This window comes from Homo sapiens, chromosome 2, assembly GCF_000001405.40.
Source record: "Homo sapiens chromosome 2, GRCh38.p14 Primary Assembly".
In the NCBI taxonomy this organism is placed as follows: Eukaryota; Metazoa; Chordata; class Mammalia; order Primates; family Hominidae; genus Homo; species Homo sapiens.
Genome location: NC_000002.12, coordinates 45,116,110 through 45,143,330, shown reverse-complemented (window position 1 = coordinate 45,143,330; position 27,221 = coordinate 45,116,110). Strand labels below are relative to the sequence as shown.

At 44.2% G+C, this 27,221-nt stretch overlaps 1 long non-coding RNA gene across 2 annotated transcripts; it reads left to right on the top strand.

Moving 5' to 3' along the window:
- On the top strand, positions 1-26,861 carry LOC107985809 (uncharacterized). Of its 2 annotated transcripts, none has more exons than XR_001739190.2 (3): positions 1-128; positions 21,808-21,880; positions 25,288-26,861. It is a non-coding gene; the product is annotated as an uncharacterized LOC107985809 (long non-coding RNA). The 2 variants fall into 2 exon arrangements; XR_001739189.2 differs by lacking the exon at positions 1-128 and adding an exon at positions 3,229-3,387.
- Positions 26,862-27,221: the final 360 nt, after the last annotated feature.

The window sequence follows — 27,221 nt, the reverse complement described above, 5'->3', positions numbered from 1 at the left end:
GTTTGCATATTAGCCCTGAAGCTTGTGCAGTGAGGCAGGATAGAGGAATGGGAACAGCTGGAGCCAGAGAGACCTGCTGGGAATCTGGGCTCAGCCACTTTTGACCTGCATGGTTTCTTGCAAGTCAGGTAAAACTTCTCAGGACATTAACTTCTTCAGATTACTTACCTGCAAAGGGCACTGCAAGGATGATCAATCAATCGTGTGTGTAAATTGCCAGGCATATCCTTCATGCTCAATACATGATAATTACTATTATTATGAGAAGAGAGAGTTCAATGAGAGCCAGGATAGTCTGTAAGTGACAGGGCTTCAACTAGGCAGTGAAGAAAAAGCAAAGAGTAGAGATGCAAAAGGAAAATGGGGCCAGGTATGGTGGCTCACCCCTGTAATCCCAACACTTTGGGAGGCAGGAGGATTGCTTGAGGTCAGGAGTTCAAGGCCAGCCTGGGCAACACAGTGAGACCTCATCTCTACAAAAAATCAACAGATTACCTGGGTATGGTGGTGCATGCCTGTAGTCATGACTACTCAGAAGGCTGAGATGGGAGGATTGCTTGAGCCTAGGAGATTGAGGCTGCAGTGAGCCGTATTTGCATCACTACACTCCAGCCTGGGCGACATAGTGAGATCCTGTCTGAAAAAATAAATAAATAAATAAATAAATAAATAAATAAATAAAAGAAGGAAAATGGGATGAGGGAGGACATTCCAGACAGGGGGCATCCCATGAGCACAGGCAGGTAAGCAGGAATGAACATGCCCCCTCCAGAGGATGAGTGAGAGAGATAAATGGGATTAAAGGTGGGGCAGACAGAAAGCTGGGGTGAGGGACTTGAAATTGAGGCAGCAGAAGGGATCGGTGGAAGGTTCTGGAGTTCATGTAGGTCTTGTGTTCTACAGTTGAGTCCCCTTCTAGGCTGTGTGCCCACAGTGTAAATACCAGCATCTATAAAACACCTCCTGTTATTCTCACTTCCTCCTCCACCAGACAGGGGTCCGGTCAAGTCCTGATGCTCTTTGGTGTAGAGCTGCCCTCCAGCAGCCAGTCTCCTTGCAACTCCTCTAGGGGAATTTAGGTCATAGTACTATTTCATGGTATTTCTGGGAAGATAGTAAGGCCAAATGAGGCTTATTTCACCAAACTTTGAAAGTTTGAGCCAAAGCTGTCACCATAATTGCTGCTGTGTAACACAAACCTGAACCTATACTCTGTCACCATTTCCACGAACACCTAATAGAAGTGGCCTCCAAGAAAACAGAAATCTATGAAATTATTAGTTTTGACCATCAAATTTGCATTTGTGCTAACACTGAATAACCACTCAGCCACAGATCAAGTTTAAAAAACCATGAAGGTGCCTATGATGTGCTCCCTACATATCAGGTGGAGATCATGAATCTGATGGCAATAAATTCTTAAATAGAGAAAGTGCTTGCAAATTTGACATCAGAAACAGTGTACGTGTTCAGCAGGCTTTATGGGTGAATTTCTATTTCTGAGAACTATTTTATGTCCCAGCACTTCCTGAAACAATATCAGAGTAGGTGATTTAAAAGATAGCAATGTCAACTTTCAAGCAGATTCGCGCAAGAAAAGGGAGTGCATTTTATATTTTTCTTTGGTGCTCTCTTAATAGTGTTGATAGTGTGAAAACATTCTGATGAAAACAGATAACCTAAGTCAATACTGCAAATATTTTTGCCATTGCTATTTAGCCTACACTGTGGCACTTTGCACATGAACATGTGACACTGGGCAGTCATTCTCATGTTGCACTTGTAGTATATTTTATTTATCTCAATAGATTATGATCTCATTGAAAGAGATAAATGTTTTCGGTTTCCTTTTAATCCCCCCTGTTAGTACCCTATACAAGGTCCTTCATCTACTCTGTATGTTGTTAATTAATGGATGCTCTTCGTTGGGAGGGATGCTCTCAAAACAAAATGCAAGGCCAGGTGCGGTGGCTACGCCTGTAATCCCAGCACTTTGTGAGGCCGAGGCGGGTGGATCACCTGAGGTCAGGAGTTTGAGACCAGCGTGGGCAACATGGCGAAACCCCATCTCTACTAAAAATACAAAAATTAGCCGGGCATGGTGGCACGTGCCTGTAATCCCAGCTACTCAGGAGGCTGAGGCACAAGAATCACTTGAACCTAGGAGGCGGAGGTTGCAGTGAGCCAAGATTACGCCACTGCACTCCAACCTGCATGACAGACTGAGACTCCATCTCAAACACAGCCAAACAAACAAAAAAAACAAAAAGCAAAGCCAAAAGCATCTTGAACAACATGGGCATTTAGGAGCTCACGTGACAAGAAGCGGAGGGGCAGGGCAAGAGCAGGAGTGGGCACTGCAGAGACTTGGTACAACATTAAAGACCCAGGCTCTTGCCATTTCCCTGCTCCATCATCCTCAGTGTGTGCATTTTCTTAGTCACCATGCTCCACACCCAAGTGCAGGAATTGCCGTTTCCCCTTGCTGTTCTTTCAAAGAGGGAAATCTTTCCCAGAAGCCCCAAGACTACTTCCCCCCAGGTCCCATTGACCAGGACTGGGTCACATGTCCAAGCCCAGACTGCTGCATGGAACCTTCATGATGGGAGGTAGGCACTATTCACCAAGAAGCAATGGAGGGGGTGATACTGGAGAGGCCACCAAAAGTCTGCTCCTTTTTCTGTATGTAGAGGATATCTCTAATTTGAGATGAGTGTTAACAGTGGAGAAAACAAAGTTCAGAAGTAGTGGGGTGGGTGGAGGTGGGGTATAGGTTGGCAATTATGGATACTGAGTGCCTTGTTTGAAGAAAATCCCCCAACCCCTCCAAGCCTGAAAACTTTAAGTCATGAAGAAAGTAGTAGAGAATTGGCCGGGCGTGGTGCACAGTGGCTCATGCCTGTAATCCCAGCATTCTGGGAGGCCGAGGTGGGAGGATCACTTGAGGTCAGGAGTTCGAGAACAGCCTGGCCAACATGGCAAAACCCTATCTTTACTAAAAATACAAAAATTAGCCGGGCATGGTGGTGGCGTCTGTAGTCCCAGCTACTCAGGAGGCTGAGGTGGGAGGATTACTTGAACCTGGGAGGCGGAGGTTGCAGTGAACCAAGATTGTGCCACTGCACTCCAGCCTGGGTGACAGAGTTAGACCCTGTCTCAAAAAAAAAAAAAAAAAAAAAGAAAGTAGTAGAGTATCAAGTTGGTCCTGTAGCAAGTTCTGTTTACTACTCAGTTCCGTAAATTGGCTAAAACCATGGAGACGGCTGCGATTGTCGTGGTCACCCCTGAGACACTGGCTGCTGTGCATATGTGTTCCATTACCTGCCCCGTCCGTAAAGACATGAAGTACTTTGCAGCTAATCTTCCTTACAGATGAAATGAGTACTGGTAAGCTATTAGCAAAGATAAAGAGCAAATGATAATTTGTTGACATATGCTGTTATGTAATTGTGTCACATTAAAATGGGATAGAATGGTTAGTGATCTGATAAAGCCACCAGCTGAAAAACGAAACCTCTCTTCTTCAGTGGGTGCCTGTGACATCAAGGCACTGATCAGGACAGAAGGTATTTGAAACTCTGGAAAAAGGAAATCTAAGTTATCTCTAAGTAACTTAAATCAATGAAATACTATCATATCTATTAATATATTTCACATATATGGTACACATGTGAAATATATGTGGTATATATGTGAAATATTAATATATAAGATATACAACATTGACATTTAACACATGACATGTATAACAATGTATCACATATGTATTACATAGAATAAAGTAGTATTTCAATTTATAACAAATTACTTTCTTTGTTATGCCTCCTTTATGTAAGTTAGATATATCAGTTTATGTTATCAAAGTAACACCTGTACAATAATTCCAGTAATGTAGGTTGATGGGTTTGACACACAGAAATCACTTCAGGAAATGTATTGCCACAAAGGGAATGGAAGGGAATAGAATGAGAAGGGAATAGAAGTATCTACATACAGCAAAAGGACATTATGTTTCCAGGCACCCGCAAACAGGAGGCTCATCTCCCTGTCTTATCTGGCTTTTCTGGGACATCACCCTCAAAAGCAGAGTTTTCTTAGGTGTTATGCACTCACGACAGACTAAATCCTTAGGAAAACCTTGGTGCCTCTGTGGGGAACTTCACAAAGCTGTTAAATGTTTATTCCTCTTAAAGTATTTGGCAAAAGTCGACACCTGAATTCCAGCCAGCAGGGTCTGCCTTGAGGAGCTAAGGATGAATGGGTCTCAGGAAGAGCAGATTTTCCCAGGCCCTGGTCACTCACCACCCTCTAGCCCAGCTCGTAAGGCCCAAAGTACTTAGCATAAGAGAGTGACCTCTTGGCCTCCGTTCCTCCCTTCCTCTTCTGTTCTGTAAACTGAGCACCTTCATATGGCCCAGAGGCTGAGGGGCAGAGATGAAAGGCAAGGTGTGGACCCTGCTCTCATCTCAAAGAGCTCAGAGGAGACACACAAAACACTCACGAGCTCAATGCTGTTGGGCAAATGGAACTGAGCATAAGTATCCTCTTCCCCTCCCCGTTCTTGGACACAGTAAAAGTTTGAAGGTCTTGGGTTTCCCTGGGTGTTCGTTCTCCCATTGGGGTGCACCCCATTCTTGTTTCAAACCAGAACACTCTCAGGGGGCAAAGAAGCTGCCCCTGAGGGTAAAGATTGAGAAAAAAAAAAAAGCCCTGCCATTCTCAGAATGTAGAGTTCCCCGGGGCAACAGTGAAGTAAATATTGTCATGGCGAGGTTGATTCCTCCTGCGCACACCCAGTGTAGAGTTGCAGGCAGGTCTTAGTCACGCATCACGACAATGGGGTGGGATAAACACAGACTGTGTTGAACATTTCCAGCCGGGGGTGGTGGGCTTCCCCTGAGGGCACAGACACAGGTCCTGCCAGCAAGCCTTCTTCCCACGCTGCTGTTAGCCTGATGCCTCCCTTCCTCCTCTGTCCCTGAGTCCCAGGTGCACTGAGGAGTTCAGATGTATGAGTGGTGAGTTGATGTGCCATGCCCAAGCTAGGAGGAGCTCCTGGATTTGTTGCAGGGCCAGCTTCATGGACATGAAGCCTGGGCAGTACAAGGCCCCGCCCTCAGATGGGCCTGCACTTGGCTTAATGCTCTACAGTCATCATCTTAAAATTCTGAACAATTTTTGGTCAAGGAGCTTCACAGTTTCATTTTGCACCAGGTGCCACAGATTATGCAGCTGGCCTGATTTGCTGTGTGGTTAGTCCTTAAAGAGGTTGGGCTCATATGCAGAAAATTGGGAATGGATCCCTTCCTTATGCCAGTTAACACAAGATGGATTAAAGACTTAAATGTAAAATGCAAAATTATTAAAACCCCGGAAGACAACCTAGGCAATACCATTTAGGACATAGGCATGGGCAAAGATTTCATGACAAAGACATGTAAAGCAATTGCAACAAAAGCAAAAACTGACAAATGGGATCTAATTAAAGTAAAGAGCATCTGCACAGCAAAAGAAACTATCATCAGAGTAAACAGACAATCTACAGAATGGGAGAAAATTTTTGCAAACGATGCATCTGACAAAGGTCTAATATCCAGCCTCTATAAGTAACTTAAAGAAATTTACAAGAAAAAACAAACAACCCCATTCAAAAGTGGGCAAAAAACACAAACAGACACTTCTCAACAGAAGACATACATGTGACCAACAATCATATGAAAGAAAGCTCAACATCACTGATCATTAGAGAAATGGAAATCAAAACCACAATGAGATACCATATCATACCACTTAGAATGGCTACTATTTAAAAAGTCAATAACTAACGGATACTGGCAAGGTTGTGGAGAAAAAGGAATGCTTATACATTGTTGGTGGGAATGTAAATTAGTTCAACTATTGTGGAAGACAGTGTGGCGACTCCTCAAAGACCTAAAGACAGAAATACCATTCGACCCAGCAATCCCATTATTGGGTATATACCCAAGGGAATATAAATCATTTTATTGTAAAGACACATGCATGTGTATGTTCATTACAGGACTATTCACAATAGCAAGACATGGAATCAACCTAAATGTCCATCAATGATAGACTGGACAAAGAAAATGTGATACATATACACTATGGAATTCTATGCAGCCATTGAAAGGAATGAGATCATGTGCTTTGCAAGAACATGGATGGAGCTGGAGGCCATTATTCTCAGCAAACCAATGCAGGAACAGAAAACCAAACACCACATGTTCTCACTTATAAGTGGGAGCTAAATGATGAGAACACATGGACATGTAGAGGGAAACAACACACACTGGGGCCTATCAGAGGGAGGAAGGTGGGAGGAGGGAGAGGATCAGGAAAAAATAGTGAAGGGGTACTAGGCTTAATACCTGGGTGATGAAATAATCTGTATAACAAACTCCCATGACACATGTTTGCCTATGTAACAAACCTGCATATCCTGCACATGTACTCCTGAACTTAAAATAAAACTTCAAAAAAAAAAGAGGTTAGGCTCTTTCCTCCCATTGTCTCAAAAAAGCACACCCCCCCGCCATTTCCAACTCTCATTTTCATAGAACCATGAAGTCACCCAAGACACATCTCCAGGCAGACCCTATGGGAAGTGGCAAATTCTGTCCAGACTGCCAGTTACAGGGATAAAGATGAGTTAGGTGCAGGCTCTGGGTATGCAAGCTGCACCCTCACCTCTGGGCTATTCCCAGCCCCAGAGCTTCAATCCCACCTCCCTAAGAGGTCCCTCCTCTCAATCATCCAGCAGGTTCTTTCTGCTTACAGCTATGGGGAACCCACTGTGTGAGCAGTAAGACAGGAAAGGATGGTGCTGTACCCTCACGGAAGGGAACATCTGCCTATGTGGACAAGGGTTGGTAGACAGAGTCGTGTTACATGCTGAGTGCCAGCAAGGGCTAGTGGTAGGTGGTCAAGAAACCAGGGAAGGAAGGGCTCTGTGTGGGCTGGAGCAGTCAGAACTTCACAGACAAGGTCATGCTCTCCATCTCCCCCAACAGATCATCCGTTAACCCTAGCCAGCCCTCTCACAAAAGCACTTTCCTGATTAAAAAAAAAAAAAGAAGGAAGGGTGAGGAGGGTTGGGAGAGGATCTGAATGCCCCCATCCCTATAAATAAAATAGCCACCAATGTACCCCCTGTTGGCGAAGAGAGATGAAGGGAAGCTCCTTGTTATTACAAATAATTAACTCACTGGTGTCTCATTAAGATGAGAACAATTAATTCTGGTGAGGAGGAAGTGGGAGCCCACAGATAGGTGGTCCTGTAAAGTGTCCACTGGGCATAGAGGTCTGCTGACCAATAATGGCTTTGATGTTCAATTCTTTATACTGGCAACCAACACAAATTCTCTGTACCGCACAATTTATGATTGAATTCATTTATTTAGAGGGTGGTGAAAATCTGATTCTCTGGAACTTTCTGCATGAATGTGAATACTTCCCCTCCTCCCCCCACTAATTGTTTTCTAATAACAATCATTTATAGAGCAGTCACTATATGCCAGAGACTTGCAAAGGGCTTTATATAGCTTATGACTTGTGGACCCTCACAACTGTGTAAGTAGATATTATTATCTTTATTTTACAAATGAGGCAACTGAGGTATGAGGAGGACAGTAACTCTGGATAGTAACCAGGGTCCCTCAGATTCAAGGTAGCAGTTTGACGCAGAGCTTGCCTGCTAAGCTATTTGCAGCCCCACTGTCACATCATCTGACTTCAAATTATACTGCAAGCTACACAATAAACATAATACATAGTAAACCAGAACACAATAAACCATTCAGCTAGGAAGCTTCCCCCTAACTCACACACCTCCATTTTGCCCAGATTGTGCATAAAATAAATGCTTTAGATTGACTGGTTCACCTGAGAAATGAGAGACAGTTGGAAATTCAGAACCAGTCTGTGCTTTAAGCCTTTGACCACCCTCTGCAGACGTCTTCTTTTGAGAGTAAGGTGAGGGTGGGGTTCGTTTTAGGATCTTGAACCTGCCCAGAAACTTTCTGTCTCTTCTATTGTCAGTGAAGTTCAATGTGGGATTTGAAAGATCCCACCAAATGCCAAGCATTTGAAGATGCTAGGAAAGCATTTGCAAATTTCCACCAGCCACGTTGCCTGTGGTTTGCAGATTTATTTGCTCCAGGTAGAATGTTTAGAATGTTCTTTGGGTAAGGCCAGCCAGCTCAGGACCTTCCCTTCTCTCAATGTTTACAACTTCTTATTGTCTCAGACTTTCTTCAGCCAGGTTCTCATCTGATGGTTGAGGAGAAAGAGCAATGGAAGAGTCAACAGATCCCTCATGAATGGCTTGGTGCTTCTTGCTCAATTAGTTCCCGTGAGAGCTGGTTGTTAAGAAAAGCCTGGCACCTCCCAGTTCTCAGTCACTTCCTCTCTCTTGCTCTCTCTCTGGACTTCCTGAGCCAATATAATCATGAAGGCAGCAACCGTTTAGCAGTATCTAACTTTAGATGCAGACAGCACGGAAGTAGGGGACTGTAAAAATGAAGTATAAGCTGAAACCCTGCAAGGCAAACTTAACAATCATGGGGGAGAATTATAATTGTTCTGTGACCTTTAAAAATTTTGTCAAACATTAAAAACACTCTTACCCTCAGTTATAAAAGTATAGTGAATTGAAAACTATAGTAAAACCAATATTTACTCAATACACTATAATTTAAAACATTAAAAGCGTGAAAATTAAAATGTTTTGTTTCTTTGTTTAAAAAAAAAAACCTAGTAAGTGTAAACAGTGCTTGCTGGCTTCTCATTGTAGAACTTATGATACAGAGTAAGCCCCTTTTATATGCCTTGCAAACTGTTCTATGTTCTCTAAGTTTGGATCAGCTTCCAACATTTTCTTATTTGTGCTTTCAATATTGAAAAGAATCTCTGAGGTTTCCTTTCATGGGAAGATTTTTGCTGGTCTCACTTCCTCTGGGACATGGATATAGTTTGGTTTGTTTGACCCCACCACATCTCATGTTGAAATTTGATCCCCAACGTGGGAGGTGGGGCCTAATGGGAAGTGTTTGGGTCATGGGGGTGGGTCCCTAATGAATGGCTTGGTGCTGTCCTCAAGGTAATGAGTGAGTTCTTCCTCCATTAGTTCCCAGGAGAGCTGGTTGTTAAAAAGAGCCTGGCACTTCCCCTCTCTCTCTCTCTCTTGCTTCCTCTCTCTTGCCAACTGATCTTCATACACATCTGGCTCCCTTCATCTTCCACCATGAATGGAAGCAGCCAGAGGCCCTTACCAGAAGCAGATGCTGGAGCCATGCTTCTTGTATAGCCTGCAGAACCATGAGCCAAACAAACCTCTTTATAAATTACCCAGCTTCAGGTATTCCATTATAGCAACACAAAATGGACTAAGACATCATTATCCTTTTCATCACAACCACTCTCATTTATGTCACTAAATTCACCTTCACTGAATTTCTTCAGCTGCATACAGTCTTTCAAATAATGGCAAAGTCAATATTCCCATGGTCATTTATTCTATAAACTCCTTCGATGTTGGATTAAAATTTTACTTCCATTATTATCACTTTTTTTTCTTTGCTGCACTTTCCTCTTTCTTGGCCAATTCTCTCTTTTGAGTATCCTTTTCTGCAAAATATCATGTGAGTTCATTATTGGGACCCAAGAGGCAACACAGCTATATGCTTTGCTGTCTGTGCATTTACTGAATAGCAGATGCACCGTAGGTGATATAAGTGGTCACTGATAATGATATGCCTGTGTTGTCTACACAGAGATTTGTGGATTGGAGAGCTAGCAGAGAAGTTTGTACTCTTATGTGTTTACTCACAGGTAATGCACATGGTTACTGAAATTTAAAGTATGTTGTTGAGGACCAGGGTTATTGAGCTAAACCATGATAACTGAAATGCACACTTATTTGAACTACGCCAAGGGGAACTGCCTGCTTTTTATCTCATTTAATTCTCTTGGTAACTTTACAAAGAATGAAGATATTGCTATTATTGTAACCATTTATAGATCAAGAGGCTCAGGGAGGCCAACTAATTGGCACCCAGGGGCACACAGCCAGGCAGTGATGGAGCAAAACTTCAAACTCCATTTACCCAGTCTAGGAGCCTGCACTTCTGACCGCCACTCTACTGGGTCTGGATTTGGAAGGAGAAAGGTAGTTGTGTCTTTCCCTGGAAAGCTAACCTCATCATGCAAAGGGGCTTTTGCAGCTTCTTACATTACTTGTCCTTAGGTTACATGGGATCTTCAAATTAGGTCTAATTTTAACTTCCTTCCCTTTCCCCAGTGATTTAGGAATCCCTTGTATGCTGCCGAGGAATGGGTTGACTCATCAGTCATGAAGGCAGGTAACATAAGGACTGCCATGACCATTTGAAATAGGAAGAAATTGAGTGTCAGGGAAAGGAAGAGCCTAGTCCAAGGCAACTCAGGAAATTGGTGTCTGCATGCAGCGCCTGAAGCACCTTTTGCAGCACCATACTGCCTGGTGGAGCTGCAGCTGGAAACCTGCATGGCCCTGGTGTGATGGGGCTAAGGACACGGCTGCTGCTCTCCTGTGCTCACCCCCACCTCCCCACCCCTCACTGGCTCAGCTGCTGGGGATCCTCCACCCCCTCCCAACTGCAGGAAAGCCTCTTCTTACTCACTTGGCCAAGCACAGACAGGAAGGGTGTTTCTCATTAATAGGATCAGAAAAGGCATCTGTCTAAGAACGAAAGAAAATGTGGCTTTGTCTGCCAAGGTCGCTCCTCTCGAAAGCCCTCCAGAAAGCACACAAAATTGTTAAATTATCAAAACATTAATTAGATTGTTAAATAAGACCAGTGCTAATCCTCAGAGCATGTGGGGCAGGCCTTCTGGTGGATCTGGCCTAATGGCTTTAGGGTCCAGCTGAGTCTTCCTTTCTAGAAAGTTGCAGTCTTGGAATGAACAGCTGAGAAAAAAGTAGGTGATTGTATAGAGGCACCATCTGCCCCAGCAGTGCCAGACTTGGTAAAACAGGCTAGGGGCTCCTCTGCCACTGCAGCGGGGATAGGGGCCTCCCACCTTCACCCTGCCTCTGTGTCTCTATCTTCCATTCTGACATTTGAAGCACTTGATTATATCCTATGATTCTAACTAAGATTGAGAAGTGAAGCCAGCTGGACTTCCTGGGTCCAGTGGGGTCTTAGAGAACTTTTCTGTCTTACAAAGGGATTGTAAAATGCGTCAATCAGTGCTCTGTAGAAATGCACCAATCTGTGCTCTGTAGCTGCCTAGAGGTTTGTAAAATGCACCAATCAGCGCTCTGTAAAAATGCACCAAATGGTGCTCTGTAGCTAGCTAGAGGATTATAAAATGACCAATCAGCACTCTGTGAAATGGACCAATCAGCGCTCTGTAAAATGGACCAATTGGCAGGAAATGGGCGGGGACAAATACGGGAATAAACGCTGGGCCACCCCAGCCTTCAGGGGTAACCCGCTCGGGTCTCCTGCCAGGTTGTGGAAGCTGTGTTCTTTCGCTCTTCACAATAAATCTTGCTGCTGCTCACTCTTTGGGTCCGTGCCATCTTTAAGAGCTGTAACAGTCACCGCAAAGGTCCGTGGCTGCATTCTTGAAGTCAGCCAGACCACGAACCCACCGGAAGGAACCACCTCCGGACACAAGATTATTAGGTTTCAGTCTCCCGCTTTAATGTAAGAATCTTAAGGCAGGGACCAGATGTTATGTACTTTATTCTCGACAGCGTAGACTTTCAAAATTGAATTTAAAAGAAACCTTTTATTTCCACTTTTTTTCCTCTCCTCTCCCTATCTGCCCCGGCTAACACAGAAGGTAACATGACCCGGAAATTGCCGCATCTGCCAGTCCATATCCCGGGAAAACATTCCCAGATTAGCCCCCAGAATCAAATACAAGGCCTGCTGCAAGGAATTTTTGCATTGGAAATAAGGGCAAGAAGATATTGCAAATCAGGCTGTGCAGCTCTGATGATGAGGATGAAGAAAAGTAATGAAGCTGGAGAAAAGTAATCTTTCTGTTTCTCTGCCCCCAAAATTTCTTCTTTCATTTCTTAAATGAAAACTCTGAAGATTGTTTGGACCTATTGGAATAGGGCTCATGAAAGAAAAAAACTGCAAAAAAAACCTATGTCAGACAATTTGAATCAACTAATTTTTATAAAATCATCATTTATTGGATGCCTATGAAGTGTTAGACACTGTGATAATTTTCTCAAGTCTGAAGAGTAATTCTCAATCTATAAATGAGAACACAGGATCAGAGAGATTACATAATTTCCCCATGTTTAAATAGGAAGTGTAAGAGGGAGGATTTGAATTTGTTCTGATTCATCCCATGGTGTGTCCATTGTTAACCTCATAGCTTCCTCTTTAACCTCTTTGCCTAGCATAAGTGCAGCTTTCATCATGCAGAAGCCCCTTCCTCCTCCTCCAGAGTGTAATTCCAATTCAAATCTCCGCTGATTTATCCCCCTTCACCTCATTTCCCAAGGCACCGTCTGCTTAATTGTGTAACAGCATTTAGAATGTTAAGTTCTAACACATGGAGTTCCCTTGTCCATCTCCCCTTCAAGTCTATAAACTCCTTGAACCCAAGAACTATTTTTTACTCATCTTTATGTCCTCAGTGCTTAATGTAGTATCTGTCACTTAGTAGTTCTAGGTCAGAAAAGGCACCTGTAGTCCCCAGCTACTCATGAAGCTGAGCCAGGAGGGTCGCTTGAGCACAGGAGTTTGAGGTTGCAGTGAGCTATGATCATGCCACTCCACTCCAGACTTGGAGAGAAAAAACAAAAACAAAAAACTTGCCCATAGACCAGCCACAGTGTTGTGAGAAAGCTCAGGCCACTGTGAAGAGGCTACATGTTAGTGTTCTGATCACAGCCCCAGCTGAAGTCCCCAGTCAAGGCTACTACAGGAAACAAAGATGAGAGATAGTGGTAACTTGGATGTTGGTGGTAGTAATGGAGATGGTATAAAGTGGTTGGATTCTGGATCAATTTTAAAGGCAGAACTGACAGACTTTGCTGGTAATTCATAAGTGAAGAAAGAGACAGAGAGAGATTGAGAGATCAAGGATGACTCCAGGGCTTTTGGCCTAGATGCTGGAAGGATGGAGTTGCCATTGACTGAGTTAGGGAAGGGTGGAGGATGTGCAGCTTGGCAAGGATGGTGGAATCAGGAGCTCTTCTTTGGACACACTAGGTTTGAGTCCCGTTCATATCCAAGTGGAGACACTGTGTTTGCAGTTGGATATGTGAGTCTAGAGTTCTGGGAGTCATCATTATACAGATGATAATTAAAGCCATGAGAGGGGATGAGTGTGGATAGAGAAGAGGTCCAAGAACTTTCCAGGGTTGTGTCACAGCTCAGAGCTTGAGGAGACATAGAAAAACCAGCACAGGGTCTGCGAGGGCGTGACCAACATAGTAAAAGGAAACCAAGTGGAGTCCTAGAAGCCAAGTAAAGAAGGATGGAGTGATCAGCTGTGTCAAAAGCTGCTGGGTCAAGTAAGATGAGGACTGAAAATTGACCAATGGATTTAGCAACATGAGATTCATTGATAACCTTGGACAAGAAAAGTTTTGGTGGAGTGATGAGGACAATAGCCTGGCTGGAGTGAGTTCAGGAGGGGATGGGAGAAGAGGCAGCAGGGATAACCCATTCTTGAGAGGAGATTTGCTATAAAATGGAGCAGATAAGTGGTGTAGTAGCTGGAGGGGTCACAGAGTCAAGAAAGAATTTTTCAAAATAGAAGAGGTATTACAACTTGTTGATATGTTGATCTAAACGATCCAGTAGAGAGAGGAAAAAGTGATGATGATGCAGGAGAGAGGAGAGATTATTAGTGGAGCAAAGGCCTTGCATACGAAAAAGGGATGATATCTAATATATAAGTGGAGGGGTTGGTTTTGGATAAGAGCAGGGACAGTTCATCTACGGTAATGGGGGGAAGGCAGCGTGTGAGGTACAGGTGCAGATACATGGGTGACGATGGTGCTGGGAGAATGTGGAAGTTCTCTTCTGACTGCTTGTATTCTCTCGGATAAATAAGAAGTGGGCTCTTACTGGGTATCCCAACAGATTGGTGTCTGAGAGAGCAAAAGAGTAGCTAGACGAGGCTTACCAGGCAGAAGTAAGGGTCCACTTAAAGTTAGCCGCCGTGAATGGGAATGTAAAATGTGTCTGTTTTCCTCCAGCTGTATTCCACTGCATGGGTGCAGGCATGAAGTAGACAGAATGTTACATTTTAAAAGGAACAACAATTTTGCCAAAGAAGGGAGGAAGGAGCCAGGGAGTTTGAAAGTGTATGCAAAGGAGAGATTCTAATCATGGAACACTAAATGTCAGCTGGAAAAGGAGGAAAGGGCATGAGGGGGATGAGGAGATTGGAATGGTAATGAAAGCAATGAATCATAGGTCCCAGTGGGGCCAAGTCAGAGCTGGCACTAGTCCACAGAGTGTCTTGAGTGAAATAGATAAATGCTTCCCCTCTAGGTGACGCAGTCCTGCAGTTATGCAAAGAAAAAGCTGCCTCTTCCTTTGGGTGGATGAAGCCATGAGCCAGGCAGAGAACACAGTGTCATTCCTAGAACTTGAGGTGGGTTTCAGGGCCTACTTGTCCCTTGGCCAAGGACTTTTGTGCAATACACAAAATGCACAACTGTTCATGACAACTTGAGTCAAAGAACTGTTTGGGCCAGGTACTAGAGGGTTGAGCTATAAGACAGCAGGGGTGATTTTAGAGTGGGAAGATGAAATTAACATTGTGAGAGTGTTGCAGTCATTGGTCATGGATGGTTATAAGGTATGAGTGTCTGTGATAGCTGGGAGGACAAGGTCATTGGAGGAGAGATGGGTCAAGAAACAGAAAAGTCCAAATGTTGGAAGCAGTGTCATCATGACTACTGAAGCCACCAAGAAATATAACAGAAGAGCGTGGAAAGCAGTGCAGTGAGCCAGGGTTCAGTAGATAACTGTAAGGGAAGCTATTGCAGGATTGTAGGCTGATGGCATTTGCTTCAAAGCAGGCTTTTTGCAGAGGGTGGATGGACTATGGTCCCCAAGCAGCACTGAGGTATCAGAGAAGACCCTACCCCAGCCTCAGACTTAGTGGCATGAGGGATGGAGGAGAGGAAACATCCTCCACTTGGAAGGGCTATAGAGGAAGCAGTGTCCTTGCTGGAAAGCCGGCATCCGGTTACAGCAAGAAGGCAGAGGGAGCATTCAGGGGAGGCGGTGGATGGAAGTATTCTACCTCTGATGGACCATGAGATGGACCATGGATCACGAGATGAAGACTAGGGTCCTCATGGAGTTGTCTGGAGGTGAGAGTTAAGGGGTAAAGGATGATCTGGGAGCCCTGGGCTTCTTGGTGTGATGGACATAAGCAGAGTAAGGGGCTTGATGAAATAAGCTTTGATGGTCTGCAAGGCAGACTGTGGTCATAAGCCTGGGCATGTTGGGGTGGGAGTGTGTTGCATGAGCACCCAGAACACTGGGACCCCCTCTTTACTCCTGCTGATGGAGGCAGGGAGGCCAGGGGAGAGACTCTGTTATCCTTGATCTATGTCTGACAAATGACATTATCAGAAAAATGGTATGTCTTCCAATTATTCCAGTTCTGGTATTCCTTCACCTCAAGGTCTCCATCTTAATGAGAAGGGATATTCCCTCACTCGGACTGAGCACAAGTCAGTGATGTCCCAGAAGGCCAGGCTGACACTAGATTAAACTTCTGGAATTCCCATCCATGCAGCTGCTCCCAACCAAAAATTCCAACTGGAATGTCCAGCCTGATAGGCCCTCGTCCTGGCCACTTTCTAATGTGCAGGCCCCAGCTGTTCTGTAAACTGTGGAAGCCATCTTCAGCTCACTCTCAACCAGAAGGACTAGATGTATATCGGGAGAAACCAAAACACTGTTTGATTAATCGCCACCTTACAAGCCAGAGAGTGGCGGCTGGGCACGAAATGTGGTCGTTATCTAAATGGAGTGCCGGCCTGTCCTCGGGATCCCAAACAAATGGACTCCCCTCTATTTATAAACAGCCCTGAAGGATGAGCAGCTCCGTTTACGTTTAGAAGGGGCCATCATTCATTTTTATCCATCATACCTGCTTTTAGTGATATTACACATTCTCCCTACTTGGGCAAGAATCTCAACAACCCGAGAGGTTTATGTGCTTTTAACACCAATTTTGAGAGTCTCTGTGTACATTTCATCATGCAGAGAGTAATGGTGGGCCTGAAACACAGCGTGTGAGCTGATTTCTTCCTCAGAGATTCATGGAGGGTTCATGATGAAGATGAAATCGGATAAACCACTGTTGGCCCCAAAGCTGTGTTTGCGAATGGGAGGTGATTACAGAAGGTGAGGAGTGAGCCATTTAGACAACCAGGATTCTCCTAGCAGGAAGAGGATAGGATGGGGCCAGGTAAGGAAGATGCTCTGTGATGCACAGGGAAGCCAAGTGCAGCCCTGGCCCACAGGAAGTTTAGCATTTGCTAAATGGATAGAAGGAGAGAAGGAGGGTGGGAAAGAGCAGAATCCCTCCACTTTGTGAATGCAAATTATTTCACATTAGAATAGCACTTTCATTTTTTCAAGCTCTCCACAGATATTAATTCTTATGTTTAAAATAGCCCTAAGAAGAGGGCAAGAAATCTTACTTTCACTTGGTAGATGGAGAATCTGAAATCTAGAGGGGTAAAGCAGCTTTCTCATGTGTTAACTGTCGTGTGTGCTAACTGGCATGTCTCATGACTGCCATGAAATTGGTGCAAAGTCCCAGTTTTCAGATCCCCAGCTCAAGAATCATTCCAATTACCTCCTTAGTGTGACCCTACTCTGTTGAGGATGACGTCTCTTCCCTCCTTCCACTTTCAACAAGGAAGGAGAGAAGGGTGATTTTATGAAACAATTAGAGATCAGGCAGAGATATTGTGGAGTCCTGGTTTAGACAAAATTTGCTATAGGTGCTAAGAGGGAAATTGCGGGCCAAGGAACAAACCAGGTCATTCCTAAGGATGAGAGGCTAGTGTCTCCACGAGAGCACTGTCCCTTAGTAATATAACACGAGTTACTTATGTCATTTTACATTTTCTAGTAGCCACACCACAAAAAAGTTTTTTAAAAAGTTGAAATTAATTTTAATAATATAATTTAACACAAAATATCCAAAGTATCATTTCCTTTTTAACAATTTTGTTTTTAAATAGACACAGAGTCTTGCCATATTGCCCAGGCTCATCTTGAATTCCTGGGCTCAAATAATCCTCCTGCCTTGGCCTCCCAAAGTGCTGGGAGTACAGGCATGAGCCACTGCACCCAGCCAGTTTTTTTTTTTTTTTTTTCTCCTTCTTCTGAGGCACAAACTATCATTTCAACATGTAATTAAAATACAAAACTATTGAGATATTTTAAATTTGTTTATTTTTCATTAACACTGTGAGATCCTGTTGTGTATTTAAAATCTCTACTCATATGCTAAATTTGCATCAGAAAAACTTGATCCATATGTAGATTTCATAAAATATCCCATTGAAAAAGTAGATTCACATATGCAAGTTGTTCCACACAGACTTAAAAGTTTTCTAATGACTTCATCAAGTATTAGGTTTTTACATTTAAATTTAAATGAACTAACATGAAATACATTTGAAATTCACTTCTTCAGTCACACTAGCCACATTTCAACTACCCAATAGCTACACACACTACCACATTGGACAGCACAGCCATAGAGTAGTGATGGCCGCCACAGTGGCAGAAGTTGCTTTATATGGATAGCATCTCAGGTTCTGGAAAGTGGGCCCGGCTTTCTTTTTCCCAGCATGCACCTGCCCTGGCATCCTCTTCTCATATGGTATCCTGTCCAGTTTGACAGCTGACAGATAAGACCAGGTCTCAGTCTATGCCCCTCGTTAAGGCATGAATGACTTCAGGAGGTGGTAGGTGTGGGATCGGCATACTATGCTCTGTTTCCTCTGACAAGGAATCCATGGAGGTGGATGTGATGTTGTCATGAAACACCTGTGCCCTCTCAGGCCCATGGCAGGACAATGATCCTTCCCCGTGGCTGTTAACACACATACACAAGCGTGCGTGCACACACACACACACACACACACACACACATCACATCTGTTATTCCAAGGTCTGTGAAATTGAGTGAGGAATAAGAGCTGTCCATTACACATTGTTAACCCTCAAAAATTAATTTTTGAGTGATAAGTCTTAAGTACTGAACAAGGAGTTAGGAGACCTATGATCTAGTCCTGGTTCTGCTGCCACTGACCAAGGTGTAACCTTGAGCAAGACAATTTGCTCCGGTTTCCTATAAAATGAGATGCTAGATCCTTCCCAGTTTGATAGTCTTGTCCAGGGTTTGGCACACTGCTGCCCTTGGGTCAAATCTGGCCACATCCATCCATTTACATATTATCTTGTGGCTGCTTTCATCTACAAGTGCAGAGTTGGAGAGCTGGGCCAGAGACCACATGGCCCACAAAGTTGAAAATATGTGCTTTCTGAGCCTTTAGAAAAAGTTTGCTGAGTTTGTTCCCCTCTGTGGTTCCAGCTCATTTTAATCATCTCTGCACACTGAATATGTTCTTTATTAACACAACAAATATTTGTTGGTTACCATTATTGTGCAAAGTATCATGAAAATTGCAATTATGATGGCGACAATCATTGCCCTCAGATATTTTACATTCTTGCTTATAAAAGAGGTTGCTTGCTGGGCGTGGTGGCACATGCCTGTAATCCCAGCACTTTGGGAAGCTGAGGCCGGTGGATCACGAGGTCAGGAGTTCGAGACCAGCCTGACCAATGTGGTGAAACCCTGTCTCTACTAAAAATACAAAAATTAGCCCGGCATGGTGGCAGGCGTCTGTAATTCCAGCTACTTAGGAGGCTGAGGCAGGAGAACCGCTTGAACCTGGAGGTGGAGGTTGCAGTGAGCCGAGACCGCACCACTGCACTCCAGCCTGAGTGACAGAGGGAGACTCTGTCTCAAAAAAAAAAAGAAAAAAAGAGGTTGCTGGTTCCCAGAGTGATAGAGTCTGCTATTGTCCCCAATATCCGGCTCCACTTCTTCCATAATGTAAAGGTTAATTCCTTTCTTGTATGTGTGATGGTTAATCTTGTGTGTCACTTGGTTGGGCCTTGGGGTGCTCTGATATTTGGTCGAATGTCATTCTGGCTGCTTCTGTGAGGGTGTTTTTGGATGAGATGAACAACATTTAAATCAGCGGAATCTGAATAAAACAGATTGCCTTCCATAATGTGGGTGGGCCTCATCCTATCAGTTGAAGGCCTGAATAGAACCAAAAGACCTGCCTCCCCTGAGCAAGAGAGAATTCTCCAGCCTGCCAGCCCACCTGCAGATTTTAGACTTGCTTGCCTCCATAATCATGTAAATCAGTTCCATATAATAAGTCTCTTTCCATAGACTTGCACAAACTATTGATTCTGTTTCTCTAGAGAACCCTGATTCATACGCATAGTTATTTTATCGGGCAAGTGGCTTTCTGGAATAAAGACTACATTTCTGTCTCATGTAGTTAGGTGTGGCATATGACTAAGCTTTGACCAATGGAGTGTAAGCAGAAGTCCATGTAGCACAGTCTAAGGACCTTTTTTGTAGTTTTGTTTGTTTAAGACAGGGTCTTGCTCTGTCACCCAGGCTGCAGTGCAGTGGCACAAACATGGCTCACTGCATCCTCAAACTCCTAGGCTCAAGTGATCTTCTCGCCTTAGCCTCCCGAGTATCTGGGACTACAGGCATGCACCACCATGCCCAGCTAATTTTTTATTTTTTGTAGCCACAGGGTCTCATGATGTTGCCCAGGCTGGCCTCAAACTCCTGGCCCCAAGCTATCCTCTCTCCTCGGCCTCCCAAAGTTCTGCTTGGCCAGGACCTTCCTTAAGACAAAGCTAGCACATGCCCTGTGCTACTTCTTTCCCTCTTCCTCCTTCCTACTGCTTGAAACAGAGCTGTTTCAACAGGTGGAGCTCTGTCTTGGACCACAGGAGGAGGAGGACCACCCCTGAGAATTGGAGTTCCCAAGGCTGGAATGAACACAGCAAAGCCATGGGTTGTTGTAAACTTTGACTCGGGAGAAAAATGAACTTCTTTGTCTTATCTAGTGCTATTTGGATATGTGTTACTAGTAGCAAAATGTAATCCTAAATTCTATACCCAAACTTTGCCATGTCCCTCTGCCATGCCTGAATACAACATCTGCTGTAACTAAGGGGACCTGTCACAGAGTCCAGAATATGCTAAATACATGTTGGCAGGTCACGGTTGCATTTACATATCCTGAGGCATTGCTTATGACAAAGTAGGGTTGTCTTCCCAAGAAGTTAAGTTTAAAAAGAAATGGGGGTTTTAACCTGAACATTATAATTCCTCTCATCTCCTTTGAATAGATGATATGTTTAAAACACAAAACACATTTTAAAAATGCGAACAGCCAGTTGAATAAGGTTTGCTTTGTTTTTGATGGAATATGAGGTTTTTTCTCCAACATGACACTAAAGAGTTGAAGTGAGAAGTATAGATTATTTACCAGGCTATTTGGGTATTATTGGGTACAAATATACCTGTGTGTCTTAGACTATGTCACAGTCCCCTGGTATTCATTATCAGGTTCTTTCTTCTCATAAAAATAATTTTTTTCCTTTGAGACAGGGTCTCACTTTTTCACCCAGGCTGGAGTGCAGTGGCATGATCTTGGCTCACTGCAACCTCCACGTCCTGGGTTCCAGCGATTCTCCTGCCTCAGCCTCCTGAGTAGCTGGGACTACAGGCATGTGCCACCATACCTGGCTAATTTTTGTATATTTTTGTAGAGACAGGGTTTCACCATGTTGGCCAGGCGGGTCTTGAACTCCTGACATCAAGTGATCCACCCGCCTCAGCCTCCCAGAGTGCTGGGATTACAGGTGTGAGCTACTACACCTGGCCAAAAAAATATTTTTTTTACATTTGAAATAAATGTTAGCTAAACTGATCAAAACAATGTGTGTAGTCTCACCACAGCCTTCCCTATCAGTGCTGTTCAGAATGATTATTGTAATAGATATGGCAAGTGGTCCTTGCTTTGTCCACACCCCAACTCATAACCTCTGCTCCTTATGTTGTCCACCCCTCCATGAACTGCGCTCTGGGTGGGTGCTCAACACAAGGGCAACCAAACCATGAGCTGACCAGACCATTAGACCCTGCCCCCCTCCAAATGATCAAGGCTAGTTGAGCCCTTTATATTTCTCTTAAGAAACTGAGGCTGGGCACGTGCCTATAGTCACAGCTGCTCGGGAGGCTGAGGCAGGAGAATTGCTTGAACCTGGGAGGCAGAGGTTCCAGTGAGCCGAGATTGTGCCACTGCACTCCAGCCTGGGTGACAGAGCAAGACTCTGTCTTTAAAAAAAAAAAAAGAAAGAAAGAAACTGAGAAATAGCCAGATAACATTGGAGATAGAGGCCAAAAGTTGTACAGAGAGTTGCTGAAGTGAAGGAAGCTGGCAGTCGTGATGGGCCCTAGGCAAGGTGAAGTAAAGAATCCATGAGTAAGCAGAGAGAATGAGCCAGACAGGCAGACAGACCAAGAGATGTTGGGAAGGGGACTGGTCTCCAGGGTTACCTTGGATTCTTCTAATTTTCTAGTTCCTAGACCATTTCCAGCTCCACTGCATGTGTGTCCTGCAATAAATCTTCTATAATTGCAGGGACCCTGAGCGTATCTCTCTTCTCCTTGCAGCTCAGAGCTGGACCAAAGCAGCTGTCGATCCTTTGCCTCTTTGCACTTTGGAGCCCAGTCCTGATGGGACCAGGTAATCCAGGCATGCATCACTGCCAGACTGGCAAATACCAACTCTTCATTCAAGTGTTTTTCACTCAAGTGTTCCTAAAAATATCCAAGAGAAGAAGAGGACGGGCAGTTTTCTGGAAGGGCAGTTGTAAAACTTGAAGGAACAAAATCTGTTATCCTGTGGCTTAAAGAGGACTCTCTCTAGGAGACATTTGTCATGCTCTGGGCTTATTCAGAGTCAGAAATTGTCTCTGATGGGAACCACACGAAAGAGTTGGGGACTCAGAAGAATTACCTTCTGCTGAAGTTCACCTTAAAAAGTAGATACATGCTTTAAACACCCCCAACTTCTCCCATCTCCCTTTGGCTGAAGAAGATCAAACCTTTCTGGTTAATCAGAGCTAAACAAAGAAACGGCCTCTGCGGCCTTCTCCTCAATGACCCTCATCCCCACACCAAGCCATCTCAGGACTGAAAGACCCATCAATGTAGGCCTCTGTGGAGAAACCAGTTTTTAGGCCTCTCACTGAAACCCAACCCCCAGCCCAGCCATGCAGCATGAGCTCATTCTGCCCCAACTAGGAGAATGAGAAAATGGTCTGTGAATTTCTCTTCCACTCTGTCAAAATAAGAACAGAAAAAACCATGCTTCTGCAAAAGGGTTTTCTTTCAGCTTTTATTTGCACACATTCTGTATAATTATGGTCAGCAAGAGGGCATTTTCCATGGCCACACTGGCAGTATTTTCCACACAAAGGCTTATGCTGGTGGGCAGCCTGCCCTTGAGCTATTTACTTGTGTGGTGGATAGAAAACCATCAGACCTATGGCCAGTTAAACCCAAGCAAAATGTTTTCATTTGGACTTCTCCTGTAACTGGGCATATTATTTTAATTTTCCCTCCACCCCTTGTCCCCTTTCCCTAGGTAAAGTGATTCAATATGGTGGAACCACCGTTATGCAGCCAACTCTGTAGTATACCTTCCAGTTAACTGCTAATGTTCACATTTTAAAGTACTTCCTCCTAGCTTTCAAGATCTTAGGATTTTCTTAGCCAACGTTACTCCTTGGAATTCCATCTCATTCTCTCTCTATACAAGTAAGCCCTTTGCTTCTCTGGGCCCTCATGCACCCAGCCCATTTCTTCCTCCAGGCCATTTTTCTTGCTGTGCCCTATCATCCCAGTCCTGAAAGCCTGCCTCCTTCCTTTGGCTCCTCTGAATCCTGCCCACCATTCAACATCCAGTTGTGGCCCCCTCCTCAGTGAAGCCCTCGCTGACTGCTGAAGTTGTCCTGACTCTTCTTTCCTTCACTGAGCCATGAGGCTGTACTGGCTTCTCACTTGCTGCATATTTTGTAATTAATGAGTCACTAGACAAGTTTATCAAAATGTTGACATTGGTTTCTGCATAAAACCACAACATAAATCAAGTCATTCATGTAGCAAGTATTTACTGAGCACCTAGTCCACAGTCAGCCCTGTAAGCAACATTCCACACCAGAAAATGCAGGAATTCATGGGCGAGTTAGGCCTGCTTCTATCCTACAAGAATTTGAAGAGACTTTGAGAAAACAAGCTACAGGCATGAAAGATAATCCTAGAGCTGATGCCCAAAGGATGATGGTTCTTCAAGGCAACATGAGGTAGACAGAAAGAGGAAGAGGAGTCAACACCATCCATTAGAATGGGACAGGGGTTGAGAGGCAGCTCCAGCTGACAAAGAAGTCAAGTTTCCGCTGCTTATAGGATGCATAGATGCAATAATGGATAGATACACACATGCTTGTAAATACAGATGAACCAAGAGATGAGCGGTCCAAAAGCCATCCATCCATCCACCATTAAAGAAACATTTACCCAACACATACTCTGTTCCATTCATAGGGGATACCTAGATAAGTCAACCTTCAGGGAGACTGTAGTCTAGCCTGGTGGCACGGCAATTTAGTCATAGGGCAACCAAATGTGACTTTAAAAGTTCAAAGAGAAGTCATAATAGCTGCCATTTTTTAAATGTCTACAATATGTTAGGTACTTTTCAAACACTACTGCTACAGTTCCCACTCTGGATGCCAAAGCAAATTTGTAGGGAGACCGTGGATTATTTTAAATTTTTGAGGGTAATATCATGATGCTTAATGTCTGTTAGACACTGTGCAAACTACTAGCTCAAGGTAGTTCACAGTTTCAACATTAGATCATACTGCATTCCTTTTGATGATGTCACATCTTTGTGGAGCAATGAAAGTCAATATGTAACAGGAGATGAGGGAAGCAATGTTCAGTCAGATTCCAAGGTCTGAGAAGTTGTACAGTGCCCAATAGGTGTCTGCATCCCACTAATAAGCAATCATTACTACTTAAGAATAAAATCGGCCAGGCGCGGTGGCTCACACCTGTAATCGTAGCACTTTTGGAGGCCAAGGTGGGCAGATCACTTGAGGTCAGGGGTTCAAGACCAGCCTGGCTAACATGGTGAAACCCCATCTCTACTAAAAATACAAAATTAGCCGGGTGTGGTGGCGCATGCCTATAATCCCAGCTACTCAGGAGGTTGAGGCAGGAGAATCACTTGAACCCAGGAGGCAGAGGTTGCAGTGAGCCGAGATCGCACCACTGCACTCCAGCCTGGGTGACAGAGTGAGACTCCTTCTCAAAAAAAAAAAAAAAATAAAATAAAATAAAATAAAATAAAATCAAACTATTAACTTTTTTCTTTCAATTTATATGTAATTACTTTGTCAGGACATAAATTCCTATTACATAGTTTGGTTCTAACTTCCTGATAAATGAAACACATTTTTCTTAAGGCCTAGAGATACTGTGAAAAATTACTGAGATGCTAAAGACACTATGAACTGAGGAAGTTCGGGAGCCTCTGCGTAATGCTAATCCTCTCAGGTTACCAAACATCACACTGGTAGTAAATTCTAGAGTTGGGGTTTGAACCCAGATCTGTTCTAGTGGTCTCTGAAATACATTACTTTTGCTTATAATACTGATGGGAGCTCAGTGGGCTCATCAGGGGATGGATACGTAGGGCTGCCTGGTGGGCAGAGGTTGGAGAAATGAGGCAGGACTAACAGATTCATGGAACTGAAAGGTCTTGCTCTGACCTTGAAGGGCACACTGCATAGTTACTATTCCCTTTATGCTAAGTTTCCATGAGGCCTTGGTTCGATGGGAGGAAATAAAAACAACTCCTAAGAGGTGTGCGGCAAACAGGCCTGATGAGGTTTTTTAGTGCCAGGTCACAAGAAGAGGAAGAATGGGTGGGAGTATAGAGACCATGGCCAAGGTGTGAGAAATAGAGGCCTGGTCTGCACACATTCTGACAGGGGTCATGTAACTCTTATTGCAGATGTTTGAAAACTTGAGTGGCTGCTGTCATAATAATATCTCCAAATGACCAGGCTTCTGTCATTTCAGGTGTCAGAGCCCTGCCAAATCTGTGAGAAGGGTGGAAGCAAGTTTCCCTGAGGGAAAAAAAAACAACAAAAAAAAACCTTCTGGAATTGGGAAAAATTTAGGTCAACATCATTTGAACCTTGACCTCTTGCTCTTTTGTCCCCGGGTGGACATTTCCTTGACCTCCAGAAATTCCTCCACCTCAAGGGAAGACTTCTTGCCCCCCTCACTTCCAGAGGCCTCCAAAGTGGGCTGGGAAGAGATTTAAAGCAGGACCCTGGGAAGCATGATGAGACTCTGGAGTGTAGAGAGGCTTCCCTGCAATGCAAAGATCTTCAAAGGCCAAGCCCAAGGCACTGCAACCCCCAGGAGGGCCCACTCCAAAGCAGAACAGTGGAGGGAGAGCCTGCGTGTCAAGAAGCCTGGACAGCAAGACCCCCTACTGTGGCAGCCAGCCTGCTTGTAGGAGTCCTGAGAAGCCTAATTCAATTACCCTTATCAGAATGTCTCTGAACTTAACAAAGCAGATAATGAGTTCCAGAGACAGATACTGCTTGGGGGGCCAAAATTATTTTGCTTCCCCAAATTGGAGGCTGAAATTGGAGATGTTTGAATAATGGAAAACATAATCCTTCCCTAGGCCCAACCCCCTCCCAGTACCCACACCTGAGACACCCTTTCAACCAAGGAGCCTGGATTCAACATCCATGCCGTCTCTCCTCCTGAAGACACCTGGTCATGAACTCGACCTCTTTCCCCCACCATCTTTGTGCCATCGATGGAAGGAAGCTGCGTACAGGATGGAAGTGGGAGGGGAAAGGGATTAACATTTATGGAGCCCTCCCCTCTATGTGTCAGCTACATAACACATAGCATTCATTTCAACCACAGAACATATGTCTTTACATTACAGAAGGCAACGGAGAACTGGAAAAGTTAACTTACTGCCTGAGGACCCATCCCCATCTCACCAGCAGCACAGTCAGATTCAGACACAGGTATTCAACTTTGCAACACACTGTGCCTCACGGCCTGTGTGCTCAACATCAGAAATCAAATAGAAACTCCCTCATTCTAAGATTCATAGCCATCCTCCGAGATATGACATAGCGACCTCTCCTCCGTGAACAGGGAAACAGACTGAGAGGATAACCTAACTCTCCCAAGGCCAGAGTATCCACTGGGATATGCAGCCAAGTCAGCCAGCAGTTGAAACAAGGGCTCTCTGTGCTATCTCACATCTGAATTGAATTGTTTCCTACAGACTTCTCATAGCTCTCTAGGCAAGGAATACATCTTCTCACCTTCCCACACTAAGAAAGGCCTCTGTCTGAGCCTGGGTGCCGGGTGGCCAGGATTCCTGCTGAACGTTCAGGAGCTTTCCATCTCCAGAGGTGAGCTCCTAGTTCCTGCTTACCTTAGAACTGTAGAACATATAATGTTACCACTGAAAAGAACCTCTCGTATAGTTGGATCACACCCTTTACCTATTTATTTAAATGTACTGTTTTAATTATGTAACATTTGATATGTGCAGGATAATATGTATGCAAATTATAAAGCATAATAATAAAACCTGTGAACCCACCACTCAACCTTAGAACCAGACCATTACAATTGATGTCCCTCCTACTTCCCCAACAGAAATAACCACTGTCCGGGACTTTATGTTTATAGCCCCACCCCCCACAATGATTTTTATAGTTTTGCCAAATATGTTAGCATGGTAGATTGCATTATTGCTCTGAGTTAAATATCCTTCCTTTGACATATAATTTGGCAGTTCCTTCCATTGGAAGTGAAATACATTTCTCTGCCCAAGATGTTAGATTTGCTTTGGTCAGTAGAATGTTGCAGGCTGTGACGGTGAAAATTCTGAGCCCAGGCCTTAAGAGGAATCACCTGTTTCCACATTCCCCACTTGTATTTCTGCCTCTGCCATGAGAAAAACATGC